At 37.3% G+C, this 16,416-nt stretch overlaps 1 long non-coding RNA gene and 1 pseudogene across 2 annotated transcripts in view; both read left to right on the forward strand.

Moving 5' to 3' along the window:
* LOC105375993 (uncharacterized) overlaps positions 1–9,183 on the forward strand; it is a 98,517-nt gene extending 89,334 nt beyond the window's left edge. Inside the window, exons 3-5 of one of the 2 annotated variants that reach the window (XR_929520.3) lie at positions 5,533–5,666; positions 6,041–6,286; positions 8,448–9,183. This is a non-coding gene — a long non-coding RNA (uncharacterized LOC105375993). The remainder of the gene's footprint in view (positions 1–5,532; positions 5,667–6,040; positions 6,287–8,447) is intronic. The other variant, XR_929521.3, reaches the window with a different exon arrangement.
* LOC100419692 (zinc finger protein 791 pseudogene) lies at positions 15,300–15,984 on the forward strand (annotated as a pseudogene).

The raw sequence follows: 16,416 nt of genomic DNA on the forward strand, positions 1-16,416 counted from the left end.
TTTAGAAAAGGTACTGACATAGATGAGCTATTGCTGAAACAACCAGTATTATCTCATTTTCATTTTTTAAAAGAGCTATATTAACCAATGATGGCCCCAGGTAACTGAGTGAAGTGAGCCTAGAGACAAGTATAATGAAGAGTTTTCACATTGCTGAGAAGAATCAAAAGTGGACAAGAAACAAATGTTGATGTCCTGTAGCATGCTGTTGAAATTCATGTCTTTTGTCATGCTGGTACCCTCTCAGCAAATGATAAAATCCTCAAAATGATAAAACTTGGATTTCTGGCAAGCACCCATTGTTTGCCATTATTGTCCATCTTGATAATAGAAATAAAGCTGTAAGATTTCGCTGAAATCAGTATATTATTACTTTTTCCAACGTAGCTATAAGTGGAACGAAGGTTAATACATTTGCTAAGTTTCTTTCATTGTGAAGTTATTAGAGTATGTTCATTTTGTAACTGTTGTTTTATAACAAAACAAACACATAGGAACACATACAAAGGATTTTTTGCTCCTTAGTTCAGCTAAAATCTGGGTTCTTGTCTCATGACCAGGAAAAGTTAGGCACATGGACGCACTGAAGGGTGAGGAGAGCAGAATTTATTAAAATAAAGCTGTCTGTGAAAAAAACGGCATCCTGCCAGCAAGCTCCCACCTCACAGATAGAATACCAGACCACCACACATGAGCTGAAGCGGCTGGGATCCTCCTGCTGCATAAGGCACAAGTTCCCTGTGGCTCCACCCCATTCTCCCAGTGCACAGGCAGGCCCTTATTCTGAGTCACTCCACACTGGTTTACTTCTCTTACTGCACATGTGTTAAGGGATGGAATTTTTCACCTTGGGCATGTTTAGGCAAGCCCCCTGTGCAGAATGACCCCGTGTGGCATTTGGCTGTCTCCTGCCTCTATCATTCCCCTCTCTAAATAAGTACATCTAACTGCCATTAGAACAAGGATAAGGTTATAAGGGCAAATACCAATCGTAACTGATTCCTGCTGACAGGGATGCTGTTTTGTGAAAACAGTAGTCAGATCTCCTTCAGAAGCCTATTTAAGGGTTCCCAGCAAAAGGAGCCACTGTCTGAGACTCCGTTGCATGACTGTTTGGAGTTTGATGGTCTGAAGGCAAGAAGAGATAAATTGGGTTATTAGAAAACATGTATCAAAAATCCTAAAGCCTTTTACTAGTTTGCATGGAGAGAGGGAGGCCAAAAGCCTGACTGGTAAAAACAAACAAACAAACAACAACAACAACAACAACAACAACAACAAAAACTTTGCCCTTTTGACAGCATGTTGGGCTTCTGGCCCCGAGCCCAATCCTAAGACAACCAGTTTAAGGTTTGGGAAATTAACTTTTCCCAGTTTGAAGGATGCATCTGATGGGAGTGTCCTGTAGTACAGAGACACAACTACCTATCTGTGAAGAGAGGAAAGAGGAGGAAAAAGGAAAAAAGAAGGCATTATTTTCAAAGGCATCACAGTGGTTCAGGATGCATTCAAAAGGGGTACAGACTGAAGATGAATGGCTACTCATCTAGAAAGGGGGTGGCGGGGCATCCCAGGTTCCCTTCTCTTCCTAGCAAATACCCAAGGTACATGAGGGAGAGAAAGTGAGGCATCCCTCTTTCTTTCTTCCATCCTTATATCCCTGAGTCCCAGCAACCACAACAGGGTACCACCCATGGGTGTCAAAGCAGCTTTCACCCATGTCAACAAGGGGGCATAGGGGGTGGGAATATCCACTCTTACTCATTTATGCCCTATCTCTCCTGCTGTCAGTAGCCTTTGAGTTCCCTAGAACTCATTTTTACCATGGATACTAGCATGACCTTTATCCATGAAATGAGAGGCTTGGCTTAATCGGCAGGAATTAGTGATGCTCACCTGCACTGTGCCTTTTAACTTCATTATTGTCTGCCTCTGCATCCCTCAGATCCAGTTTTCTTTCCTAGGGCTTCAACTAAAAGCTTGGAATTGAGTTTGGGACCAAAAATCTGTCTTGGGGAGGTTTCTTGGACTCCTTATCATAAGCTGAATGCTAAAGTGAAGCTGTGGAATTAAGTCCTCCTCCAACAAGGGACCCAAAAAGGAAACATTTGGGCATCCTATTTATTTCCATCACCCAGGAGGATTTGCAGGATAATTGCCCAGAACTAGAATATTGATCCAGAGTTTTTCATTTTCCATCCCCTCTTACTCTTTTTTTTTTTTTTTTTTTTTTGAGATGAATTCTCACTCTGTCACCCAGGCTGGAGTGCAGTGGCACCATCTCAGCTCACTGCAACCTCTGCCTCCCGAGTTCAAGCAATTCTCATGCCTCAGCCTCCCAAGTAGCTGAGGTTACAGGCATGCACCTCCACACCCATCTAATTTTTGTATTTTTAGTAGAGAAGGGATTTCACCAAGTTGGCCAGGCTGGTCTTGAACTCTTGACCTCTCAGGTGATCCACCTGCCTTGGCCTCCCAAAGTGTTGGGATTACAGGCATGAACCACTGTGCCCAGCCCTCCCTTTTGTTCCTTCTGAGCTGTAGACAGAGATCGCAGATTGGTTCATAGGAATAAGCAGGGTTAGTCTATAATGTAGGCAAAAACTTAAAAACAACTAAGCAGTCTAGAATTTAATGATAATAAGTTTTGAAACATAATTTCTCTAGTCATTTTTGTTAAAAAAATCATGATAGGACTGAGTTGCTTGCAAAATAGACTTTAGTCTTATACTTAGCCTGATTATTTACATAAAGTGCAGCAAGAATAATTAGTTTTACATATGCCTTTTAGATTGGCTTTGATGGAACTCTGTTCCACAAGGAGTCTCAGATAGGACTTTCTAAAGCCGAGCCCACCCATGGGTTTGTACCCTCAAACATCTGTGAGTGGGTAAACTCTTTTCTTGAGGTCCCAAGAGCATGGGGTTCTTGGGCCTGTTAGAAAGTGACATTCTTTACTTACCACAGGTTAGGAACCCAGTATGAAGACTGTGTAGACAAGGTATGAGGCCAGTTTTCCCAAGGGACTTTTATTGGCTCTGCAAGTTGAGCTTGACTCCTTAAAGGGAAGCATACCTTTTCATCAAAGCCTTGGTAAAACAACCAGTTTCTCCAACTGCATCCTTTTGCAAAAGAAAATGGGTTGTTATTGCACTGATGCAAGCAACTATATTGCCATAAGTTAAGAATACTCAACTAGTTTCTAAATTCTGCAGAAGCCAGGGAGAGAGAGAGAAAAAAAAATGTTCCAAATTTTGTTCACAGAAGTATATCTTACTCAATTATTAAAGGCTGTAAATAGCTCAAAATAAATTTCCTTGACTCTGAAAAACAGAACAAGGATCAGCAATGTTCCAAGCAAAAATCAAAAAATTACTTCAGCTTTCTATTAGTTCAGTCTGTTTAGTTAACTGTTGTTTTGCTTAATATTTATGAACATATCAGCTCTTCATGAGTCCTGTACATTTTTTTCTCTATTCCAATGTCACAGTCTCCAAAGTTATCAGAAACCTGCATTTGAGAGCACTTGTCAAAGTTCTATAGCTGGTTATAAACCATCTTTTGAAGAGGATCAAAACAATACAATTGTGAATAACAAAATGTCTGGGGTAGTTACAGTCAGAGACATGATTGACAAAGAAAGTTGGTTATCTGTATGGTTTAAAATAACATAACAACCCTAATTGTGATTGATAGCATATATTCAGCCATAAGAATTTTAGAAATCCCATACAATTTTGGAACATACATTATTATTCCCTAAAATATAACCTGATGAAGATTAAACATCATTTTGGCAATCCCATGTACCTAAACACGTCAGACAGTCCTGTTTACCTCTCTTCTGGATGCTCCAGAGGCCCTCTGAAGCATCCAAAAGCTAGGGTTCAGGAAAGACAACCTCGAAGCTAAAATGTAATTTTGGGAAGCCTGTTAAATGTTAGAGGTTTAAAACACTTGATGTTATGAAATAGAATCCCAGATTACCATAAGTTATTTTGCCAAAATGATAACTCAAAAATTTAAAAAAGCAAAAAGCTTTTATAACACTTTTGAATTTAGTCAATGTTCACACACAGAATTTCTTTGGCAAGGTTAATTATTTAGAAACCTTCCACAACTTCTTTGAGCGTTTGGCTTTATCTTATCTAATTCAAACCAATCCTTTAACCCTAGGCAAAAATTTATATTTTGACTACATCTGCATTTTACTAATAATCTTTAAGGCTTTTTATTTCTCAGAGATTAAAATCTTGTAAACCAAAAGATATCACAGCTTTTATGTTCTCTTTAAAAAATATTTGATTTAAGCATTTATTTTTCTTTCAAGCCAGTTAATTAGAGCTCTTTTTTGTAGACATCACACACAACACATATATAACTACACAAACTCACAGAAGAAGATCGAAGAGCTATAAGAGTTTTTTTATTTGCTAATCTCCTAACTGGACTATTGGCCTCTGGGTGGAGACCTGTAAGAGCAAATCTAGGAAAGCATGCACTCTCTAGGGCCTGCTAAACAGGTATAGCTGAAACACAAAAACAGATTTTGAGAGGGATCCATCTGCCTCCAATTCGTGGGACTCCCTGAGGAAAACAGAGGTCTCTCTCAAAATGGAATCTGTGGTGGCTTTTCTGTTTTTTTTCAAGGAGTCCCAAGCCATCAGAAATTATCTTAGGGCCCCTTATGCTTGCATTTAGAGTGACAAGATGAAATGGAGAAAAATAATTCAGTTGACTGAGAAAAAAATCCTTCTTCCAGCAAAACAAGATCCAAGAAGGGAAAACATAAAGGCCTTTTAAATATACCTATAACTTGGATATCCACTTTTAATTAAGCTGAACACTCTTTAAGAAAATTCTTTTAAATCCCTTGTTACATGACTTTAGCTGCACCAAGCAGCCAGTATTTCTGGCTTTCAAACTTTACTGAAGGTAACCACCCAGGTACTCAGAGAAAGGAAAATTCAAGGCAGTTCATGGAGTAGAAGAGAATAAACAAATGGCAAAGGTCACACAGATATCAAACCACAAAGGACTCATTCCCTAAGCCAGGATTGAACCCAGGCCACCATTGTAAAATAGTGGAGGCTAAAACAAAGCATTGCCACATGGTTCTCCCAAGGACGTAAAACAAGATAGAAGCTTGCAGCAAAGTTTGCTACTGACCAGTTAGCCAGGCTGGCTTGAACAGTGGGTCTATGGAGTCCTAGGCCCACATCCCATCCTTAGATACCCCTCTTTCTGACAGAACCATACTAAAGCCATCCAAAGCATCGCCAGATTGGCTACAGCTTAAGACCAATCTCACAAATCCATTTTTGTAAGTAAAACTTTACAAAGAATGTAAACAGTGATAGTTGGGTTCCTGGCCTAGTAAAACGTCCTTGAAAAGGAAAGAATAGCCTCTTGCATAAAAGTTAGCTCCTGACCTAATGGAGAAAAGGAAAAGAAAAACAGCTTAAATGCAGGGCTAGAAAGATACCTTGGGGAAGAACCTCTTATTCTTATGCAAATGGGTTTTTCCAACAGGGAGAGAAACTTTTAATTGCCATTGGATGGAGATGGACTCCTCGGCTGGAGGAGGGGAAGGCACCATGCATGCGTGGCAGGGAATGCTGGCCAGCCAGCCAAGCGGGGACTTGGGCCATGCGCCATAGCCCCAGGTAGGAGGGTAGGGGGGTGGGAGTCACCACTCGCCTGTCTATCCAGTGTGCGTGACTGCAGCCACTGGGGTGGGGTTAGAACACCCCCAATATTGTAAAGGAAAAAATAGATGCCATACAGTCCCAACAGGAAAGATAGAAAATGCCACAGAAAAGACTGGGTTGGATTGAGGCCGACATTCCTGAATCCGAAGAGTGACAGTAGGGGGTTGGTGGGGTGGGGTGCAGTTTCCTCTACCCTCAGAAGAAGTCTGAGGACAGGAAGGCTCAGAAACGAGGGATAAAGATTTTTTGGTCTGCATTTTACTCACCTTTCCTCGTTCCCCAAACAGGCTACCAAAATGATGCAGGATTTTTTTTTTTTTGCTTCTCAGCTCAGCTAAAATCTGAGTTCCTGTCTCATGACCAGGAAAAATTAGGCACACAGACAAATTGAAAGTTGAGGAGAGTAGAATTTATTAAAAGAAAGCTCTCAGCAAAGAAAGGGGGTCCTGCCAACAGGCTCTCACCTCACATATTGAATATCAGACCACCACACAGGAGCTGAAGAGGACAGGCTTCTCCCTGCATAAAGAGTGAATTCCTGGTGTCTCCACCCTGTTCTCCCAGTGTACATACAGGTGGGTCCTTAGTCTGAGCCATTCCACATTGATTTATTTCCCTTACTGCATATGTGTTAGGAAATGAAATTTTTCACCTTGGGTATGTTTAAGCAAGCCTCCTGTGCACAGTGCCCTGGTTGGCATTTGGCTGTCTCCCGTCTCTCTCGCAAGCACACACGATGACTTGAGATGATGCATATATTCAAGGAATGGATATTATAAAAATAAAAATTATTAATCTGGGCCATGTTCACACTTCTGTTGCTCTTTATTTCCTTGACTGGGGGAAGTTTTCTTAATTTTATTTCAGCCATTATGGCCTTTCATGCATTTCAATTTTGAGCCTAATACTTTTAATGAATGTTCTATCTTGGTTAATATTTTCACAGAATGCTGTTTTCAGTAAATTTTACATAATGCAGCTTATCAGCTAATGTTTCAAAATATAACATTTTTGTTATATTGCTATCATTGAGTGGGTACCACTCAAGAATTTTAAACAGGAGATAAATTTACTGCTATTTATTTTCTCTGTCTTTTTTTTTTTTTTTTTTTTTTTTGAGACGAAGTCTTGCTCTGTTGCTAGGCTGGAGTGCAGTGGCACGATCTTGACTCACTGAAATCTCTGACTCCCTGGGTCAAATGATTCTCCTGCCTCAGTCTCCCAAGCAGCTGGGATTACAGGCACCTGCCACCACACCCAGCTAATTTTTGTATTTTTAGTAGAGACGGGGTTTCACCATGTTAGCCAGGATGGTCTCTATTTCTTGACCTCATGATCTGCCCACCTTGGCTTCCCAAAGTGCTGGGATTACAGGCATTAGCCACTGCACCTGGCCTCTTTTAGACAGCACTAGTTTACAGATCAAGATCTATTCTCAAATATCTAACTATATGTTTATATATTTATACTGTTTGTGTATTTATATTTTCAAGTAGTTTTTCCAGGAATATTGAAGCAGAGAGAAATAATTATGTAATGAATCTCTGAGGTTCAGTTGAAAAACAAAAGTAAGAGAAAGCATCTTTATGATTTTAAAAAATGATCTTTATCTCAAGAGCAAGTGAATGAGACTGTAGTCATGAATAAAATGTAAAATTTCAAAAAGATTTATAAATAAAATAAATGTTGGAATTTGGAATTCTAAGGGATGGAAAGAATAACAAATAATGAAAATAAAAATTTCAATAAAATGTCAACAAATGGGAAGTAATAGATAGTATTAGGTAAAAAGAATTTCAAGGAACATTTAGAAAATCACACACATACACAAATATATGAGGTTGCATAGGAGACATTCAGGGGTACTGCTAGTTGAATCAAAATTTTAAAACCTTGAAAAATGAGACATGTATAAGAATTATACCAAAGCAGGATGACTTGAAGGACTTAAACTCAGAAAGTCAAAATTAGAAGGTAGCTGCAACTAATAACTGACAAGATGTCAAGGTATGGAGTAATTAACCTCTAGAGATATCTTCCAATTCAACCAATAGCTATTTTTTTTAAATACTATAAAGGTCCTTGTTCACTGAATGTCGTGTGTTATTATGAATAAATCTGACACAGTTCTGTAGAACTCAAGAGGTTTTTGTGTTGTTTTTGTTTTTGAGACAGAGTCTCGCTCTGTCACCCAGGCTGGAGTGCAGTGGCATGATCTCAGCTCTCTGCAATCTCCACCTCCTGGATTCAAGCACTTCCTGTGCCTCAGCCTCCTGAGTAGCTGGGATTACAGGCATGCACCACCATGCCAGCCTAATTTTTGTATTTTTATTAGAGACTGGGTTTTGCTATGTTGGCCAGGCTGGTCCCAAACTCCTGAGCTGAAGTGATCCTCCCACCTCGGCCTCCCAAAATACTGAGATTAGAGGTGTGAGCCACCACCCCTAGCCTAAGAGGTGTTTTTTAAACACTCTTCAAAATACAGTCGACAGGCTTCTTCTTAAAAATAAAATAGATTATAGATGTATTCTTTAAGGAAGCAGGAGAGATCTAGTGCTTATTTCCACAACTGCATTCCTGCTATGTCTACTCTCTTTTGAAAGAATGTGTGCAGTGAGTTAGATTTTGTGCTAGAAATGCCAAAGGTGAAAAATAGAAAAATATTATACAAGTTAAGGATTATATGTATATATTCATTTCTTCAACAATGATTTATTAAATAACTATTTCTTCCAGGCACTGTTCTAGGCATTGAAGATACAGAAGTAACCTAAATGGATATTAACTTTTCTCATGGTGTTCCGGTGTGGGAAGACAGACAATAATAATACAAAAGAGTGAATATGTGTCAGAGTGTGAAGAGAGTTTTGGAGAAAAAAGACAGAGTTGGTAGATAGTACTGGGGTTGCTATTTTAGACAGGATGATCAGGAAAAATCTCTTTAATTTGGTGAAAATTAAGCAAACACCAAAATGCAATGAGGTGGCTATGTTGGGGAAAATGTAAATTACAATTTATAAAATGCATTACAAAGTGTATTATTTTATTTGAGTTCTACAACAACTGTAGGAAGCTAGATATATATTATTATCATTCTTAATCTTGTGGAAACTACAGTTAAGAGAGGGCAAGGGAGTTGAAGTTACCTGCCTAGTAGAGAGGGGTGTTATATTTAATCCAAGTCAAATATTACTAGTTCAGCAACAGGTCTTGACAAAATTGCTTACTTTCTCTAAGCCTCAGTCACCTAATTATTAAGATGGGGATAATAGTAATAGTGACCCCATAGAGTTGTGACAATTGTAAGATGATCTGTATAAATCAATTTAGTGTTTGGCATAGGCGTCTGACAAGCCTTGACTCTAGATCAGGGGTCAGCAAACTATTGCCCTCAGGCCATAGCCGGTCTGCTGTCTGTTTTTGTAAAACATGCGAGCTAAGAATGGTTTTTACATTTTAAATGGTTGGAAAAACCAAAAGAACATTATGTGGACTTCAAATATCATTGTCCATAAATAAAGTTTTATTGGAACACAGTCATTCTCATTCATTTATGTTTGTCTAAAGCTGTTTTATGCTACAACAGCAAAATTGAGGAGTTATAACAGAGACCATATAGCTGGCAAAGCTGAAAATTTGCTAACTGACCCTTTACAGAAAAATTTTACTGATCCCTACTCTGGATAGAAGTGCTCAACTTTGCTGCCCAAGCTATGTGTTGTTTCTTTTTATTTCATTTATTTTTATATTATTTTATTTTTAATAAGCATATAATAATTTTACATATTTTGGGGGTACCTAGTTATGTTGTGATATGTACCACGCACAGTGATCAGATCAGGGTAACTGGCGTATCCATCATCTCAAACATTTATTGTTTCTTTGTGTTGGGATAATTCAATATCCTCCTTCTAGCTATTTAAAACTATATATTATTGTTAACTATAATTGTCCTATAGTGCTATAGAACACTATAAATTATTCCTCCTACTTGTCTGTAAATTTGTATTCTTCAACAAATCTCTTCCTATCCCCAACTCCCACCACCCTTCCCAGCCTCTAGTATCCTTTGTTCTACTTTTTACCCCTTTGAGATCAACATTTTTTTTTAGCTCCCACATGTGAATGAGAACATATAGTGTTTAAATTTCTGTTCCTGGCTTATTTTACTTAACAAAATGCCTCCCAGTACCATACAAGTTGCCACAAATGACAGGATTTCATTCTTTTTTATGGCTAAATAGAATTCCATTGTGTTTATATACCACCTTTTCTTTGTCCATTCATCTGTGGTTGGACACCTACCTCAAGGCTGATTCCATATCTTGATTATTGTGAATAGTGCTGGAATAAACATGGGAGTGTGTATATCTCTTGGATATACTGATCTCCTTTCTTTCGGATAAATGCCCAGTAGTGGGATTGTTAGATCATATGGTAGTTCAACTTGTAGTTTCTTAAGAAACCTCCATATGTTTCTTCATAGTGGTTGTACTAGTTTACATCACATCAACAGTGTATAAGAGTTCCCTTTTCTTTGCATATGTCTTGCCCTTTCAAGTCTGCAAAGAGGTCTGCCTATACCACCTAATCTAAAGTAGTTCCTTCCATCCCAATCTCACCTCTTAATTTCTTTCCATTGCTATGTTTTATTTTCATCAATGCACTCACTAGTGTCTGAAATTATCCTATTTATTTTGTGCTTGTTTATCAGTTTCCTTCCCACTTGATGAAATGCTCTGCTTGTGTAAAAAATCCATCTGACATCTTGTCAGTTAGAGTTTTAGGATATATTTATGTTTTGCCTATATGTCTTTGGTCTTATTTCTCAGTTTCCTATGAACTCTGAATGGTAAAGAGGTGTTGTTGATAGATTCTGCTCAAAATCTCTAGAAACATGTATAGATTGTTTCTTTTGAAGAATGGGACTATACTCTAGATCTTATTTGACTTTATTTTCTCTCTTTATTTTACCTTGTTTGTACATATAACTCCCTATTTTTTTTTTTTTTTTTTTGACACAGAATCTCACTCTGTCACTCAGGCTGGAGTGCAGAGGCACAATCACAATTCACTATAGCCTCTACCTCCTGGCTCAAGTGATCCTCCCACGTTAGCCTCTCCAGTAGCTAGGATTACAGGTATGTGCCACTGTTCCCCACTAATTTTTGTATTTTTTGTAGAGACAGGGTTTCACCATGTTACGCAGGCTGGAACTTCCTATTATTTTAATAACTCCAATATATAGATAAAATTAGTTTAACTATTATCATTTGGATGGAAATTTGTAATAATTTATTATTACAAACAGTGATACAATGAGTATTTTGTTATTTTGTTCATTTGTGCAAGTATTTCTGCAGAATAGTATTATATGTAAATATTATCTCAAGAAATATGCCTATTTTAAAGTTTATAGATGTTGAAAAATTGCTTTCTAAAGAGCTGTGTGAATTTTTATGCTCCTTAACAGCACCTCTTCCCCATATCTTAACTAACACTGGATATTGTAAAGATTTTTCATTTCAGGCCAATCTGGTATGTAAAATGTGATACTGCATTACTATTTTAATTTTTTCATTGAATATATATGACTGGACATATTTGCTTAGGTGTGGTGGTCATTTGTATTCCTTTTTCTGTAAATTACCATTCATATCATTACTCCTCAAAAATGTTGAATTGTCCTTTGTTAAAATTGATTTTTATGAGTTCTTTAAAAAATTTTGACATTATTTCTTTTTAATCTCATGTATGTTTTAAATATTTCCCATTTGTCTATTAATTATCTTTGAGTTTTGCTTCTGGTGTCTTGTAGCCAAATCTATCAGCTTTTTCTTTGTGGCTGTTAGATTTTAAGCCTTGAAGAACTTCTTCACTCAAAAATTATAAAAATATTTCTCCATATTTTCTTCTAGTAATTTTATAAATTTTTAATGTTCAGCTCTTTCATCTATCCAATTTTGCCTAATGTAATTGATCTAAATTAAATTTTCCCTTAATAGTTATCTGCCGCAATATTATTTACTGAGTTGCCATTTTTTAAAAACTACTTATTTGAAATGTTAACATCTAAAAACATATGCAGTTATTCCTTGATTATATTTTTTTAAGTAAAAAAATTAAAATTAAAGAACGGAATAAATACAAAAGTACACAAATTGTGAACAAAAACTTGATTAATTTACAAAGCAAACACACCATGTAACTATCAGCTATGTCAAGGAATGAAATTATTACTATCTCAGAAAACTGTATTCTGTAGGTAGTCCATTGTATCTTCAAATATTGATAATTCTGTCTTTTAGAAATATATTTTAATTTTGCTCCTACTATGTTAGGAAGGTCTCCAGAAATATACAAGGACCTCTTTCTCTTGTTCCTGCTTTAAATGGGGAATGCTTTTGATCTTTTATTATTAAACATGAGATTTCCTGTAGGTTCTTGGTAGATTCTCCCCAATAAAGTACAGAAAAATGTTTTTGTATTCCAAATTTATAAAGATAAAAAAACATGCATAGGAGCTGAATTTTTGTAAGGCAACAATCAGAATTGCCTGAAGGTGACCTTATAGGCTCAGGCTGGCTTGCTTGAACATCAGGCTAGCTGGGACAACAACATTTCTCCTACAACAGTAGGAGAAAATTCACTGAAATTCAGCTTTCACCCTCTCTCTGCCCCACCTTTGAAGGAGAAACTAAAACATCTCACCTCACTAATATCTTTACTAAGACAGGTAGCTGACCTACTCAGGCAATTCCTCTAAACTGCTTTTGCTCCAAATCCAGAAAACCGGATGCTAGGCAGCCTGAGTGCTCTCCCCACCCACAAGATTGACTCTCATGATTGAATTATCAGGAGGAGAGATGAGGGTGTGGAGGTGATAGTAGAGGCTGGCAGTAGACCTCTGGGTCTACTGGGTTAGCAATGCTCTGGCTTGGTTTGTCTTCCTGTGTCATGTTGAAAGGATTAGGGGTTACCACTTACGCCGTCTCTTCATTTCTGGTTCCTGGCATTTATAAATTCTCCCTTTCCCAAAAAGTGTATTCTTCAATAGGTGTAACATTGTAGAATTCATCTGATACTTTGTGCGTAGAGATGGTACTCACTCAGGTTAGAGCCACCAGCTGGGGAAATTACATGAATAGCATCTGTCATGATTATCACATTTTAAAGCCAATTTGTTAATGAATTGCATTATATTAATAGATATATTACTGCTTAACTTTTCTTTCTTGTGATAAACGCTAACATGATTTAATGCTAGTCTGATTCACCAGTATTTATTTATCATTATAAAAATCTCTATTAATGAGTAGGAGGACTTTATAGTTTTTTTTGTAAATAATTTTGACACAATTTTGGGGAGGCTTTTCATCTTTATTTCTGTGCTCCGAATAAATTTAAATAACAAGGAGTTATCTGTTCTTTTTGAATTTAGCAAAACTGACTAGTAAAACTGGGTATGTGCATTTTGTAGAGAGGGTAGATATTGATATGCTTTCAATATGTTTTTTCACTACTGTCTAATTTAGGCTTCCTATTTTTAAACTCAAAATTAGTAGTTTAAGCTTTCCTGGGAAATTTTCTATAATTATCCACTTCATCTAATTTCCCCTTCCCCCAACCCATTACAATATATATATTTTTTTTTTTTTGAGAAGGAGTCTCGCTCAGTTGCCCAGGTTGGAGTGCAGTGGCACAATCTCGGCTCTCTGCAAGCTCCGCCTCCTGGGTTCATGCCATTCTCCTGCCTCAGCCTCCCAAGTAGCTGGGACTATAGGTGCCGGCCACCACGCCCGGCTAGTTTTTTGTATTTTTAGTAGAGATGGGGTTTCACCATGTTAGCCAGGATGGTCTTGATCTCCTGACCTGGTGATCTGCCCACCTCGGCCTCCCAAAGTGCTGGGATTACAGGCGTGAGCCACTAGAATAAATTTTTATGTTATTGTCTTTAACTTTAAAAAATATGACCCAATATTCCCTTTCTTGTTCTGAATTTATTATTAATAGCTTTTGTATAAAAAGACTTTCCAAAGTTTCTGTTTCTAAAGAACTAGTTTAGGAATTTGTTTTTATAGGCATGCTTTATTTTGTTGAATTTCGTAGATGTTGCGTTTTTTATACAGTGAAGGATTGAGGCACTTCTGCATCTAGCAGGTCTATTGGCATCATTTCTGCAACAGCGTGTACTCACTTGTGTCTCTGTGTCACATTTGGTATGCTATGGTGATCTGTGATCAGTGATCTTTGATGTTATTGCAATTATTTTGGGGTGCCATGAACCATTCCCATGTAGTATGGTGAACTTAATTAATAAATGTGTGTGTTCTGACTGCTCCACTAACTGGCTGTTTCTCTGTTTCTCTTCCTCCCCTTGGGCCTTTCTATTCCTTGAGACACAATAATATTGAAATTAGACCAATTAATAACCCTGCAATGGCCTCTCGGTGTTCAAGAGAAAGGAAGAGTTATACATCTCTCCCTTGATATTGAAAGCTGGAAATAATGAACCTTGGTGAGGAAGGCATGTTAAATGGCTGAGATAGGCTGAAAGCTAGGTCACTCATGCCAAAGAGTTAGCTAAGTTGTAAATGCAAAGGAAAATTCTTAGATGAAAATTAAAAGTGCTAGTCTAATGAACAGATGAATGATAAGAAAGTGAAACAACCTTGTTGCTAATATGGAGAAAGTTTTAGTGGTCTGGATAGAAGATCAAATCAGCACAGCATTCACTTAAGCCAAAGTCTAATCCAGAGCAGGAACCTAAGTCTCTTCAATTCTGTGAAGACTGAGAGGGTAAGGAAGCTGTAGAGGAAAAGTTTGAAGTTAGCAGAGGTTGGCTCATGAGGTTTAAGGAAAGAAGCCATGTCCATAACATAAAAGTGCAAGGAGAAACAGCAAGTGCTTTTTTGTAGAAGCTGCCATAAGTTATCCAGAAGATTTAGCTAAGATCATTGATGAAGGTGGCTGCATACACTAAACAACAGAATTTCAAAGTAGACGAAACAGCCTTCTATTGGAAGAAGATGCTATCCAGCACTTTGATAGCTAGAGAGGAGAAGTCAATGTGTGGCTTCAAAGCTTCAAAGGATAGGCTGACTCTCTTGTTAGGGGATAATGTAGCTGGTGACATCAAGTTGAAGCCATTGCTAACTGACCATTCTGAAAATCCTAAAGCCCTTAAGAATTATGCTAAATCTACTCTACTGTGCCCTATAAATGGAACAACAAAGCCTGGATGACAGCACATCTGTTTACCATGACTTGTTTATTTAATAAAGTCCACTGTTGAGACCTGATGCTCAGAAAATAGGATTCCTTTTAAAGTATTACTGCTCATTTGAATGTGCTTGGTCACCCAAGTACTCTGATGAAAATGTGTAAGGAGACTGATGTTTTCCTACCTGATAACACAACATCCATTTTGCAGCCCGTGAATTAAGGAGTAATTTCAACTTTTAAGTCTTTTGATTTAAGAAATACATTTCATAAGGCTATAGCTGCCATAGATAGTGATTCCTCTGATGGATCTGGGCAAAGTAAATTGAAAACCTGCTGGAAAGGATTCATAATTCTAGATTCCATTAAGAACATTTGTGTTAGGAATGTGGCAAGTCATTTACTTCTTCCAGTGTCCTTCAAGGCCATGAAAGGACTCATACTGAAGAACCTGAGGAATGTAAGAAATGTGGTGAAGCCTTCGGTTGTTCCAGTTCCCTTTGAAAGCATGAAATTTCTTATATGTGGTTTTAAAAAACCCTATGAATGTAAGAAATGTGTTAAAGCTTTCAGATGTTCTAATTTCACTAGAACACATGAAAAAACTCACACTGGAGAAAAACCCAACAAATATAAGGAATATGAGAATGTATGCAATTTCCCCAGTTCCCTTTAAAAACAGAAGAACCTATACTAGGAAGAAAACCTCATAAATGCACAAAAGTGGTAAAGCATTCCATTTTCCCTGTTGCTTTCAGGTACATACAAGAATTCACAATAGAGATATACCTTGTAATTTTCAGAAATGTGGTAAAGCCTTTAGTTTTTTTATTTTTCTTGAAATCATGGAAGGACTTAGTGGAGAAAAGCCGTATGAATGTAAACATTTGGTAAGTCCTTTAGTTGTTCCTGTTCCATTTGAAGATATGAAAGAACTCATTTCTGAGACTAACCCTATAAATGTATACAGTGTGGGAATGCTTTTATTTCTCTGATATTTATTCAAAGGTGCATGATAACATATACTGGAGATTGACCTTACAAATAAAAGCATGCTGAGATAAAACCCCAGTAGTTTGGAAAATACAGGGAAGTTTTCAATTGTAACAATTACTTTAAAAGTTATGTGAAAACTCCCACGGGAATGGAATCTCATAAATATAGGTTAATTGGAACTTGTGATGCAAAGTAATTACTGCATAATGCTAAAAATGCACATAAATTCTATACTCATCACAAATGTATCGTATTTGTCAGTGGTTCATTGTTGAAGAGGGACTCTATACTTTTGATTTTCACTTGTTTTGCAAGGAATCATGGAGGTGAGAATTCTGTAGATACTCTATAAGCCATAGTACATGAATTTAATAGGCAGTGGTTTTATTCTCATCAGTTAATAAAATGTTTGTGTATCCACTTAAAAGTGTGTTAGACCCCTAGGTGAGTTGAAATGCATTTCTAATATGTAGGCGTCTTTAATTTT

Source organism: Homo sapiens, chromosome 9 (assembly GCF_000001405.40).
Source record: "Homo sapiens chromosome 9, GRCh38.p14 Primary Assembly".
NCBI lineage: Eukaryota > Metazoa > Chordata > Mammalia > Primates > Hominidae > Homo > Homo sapiens.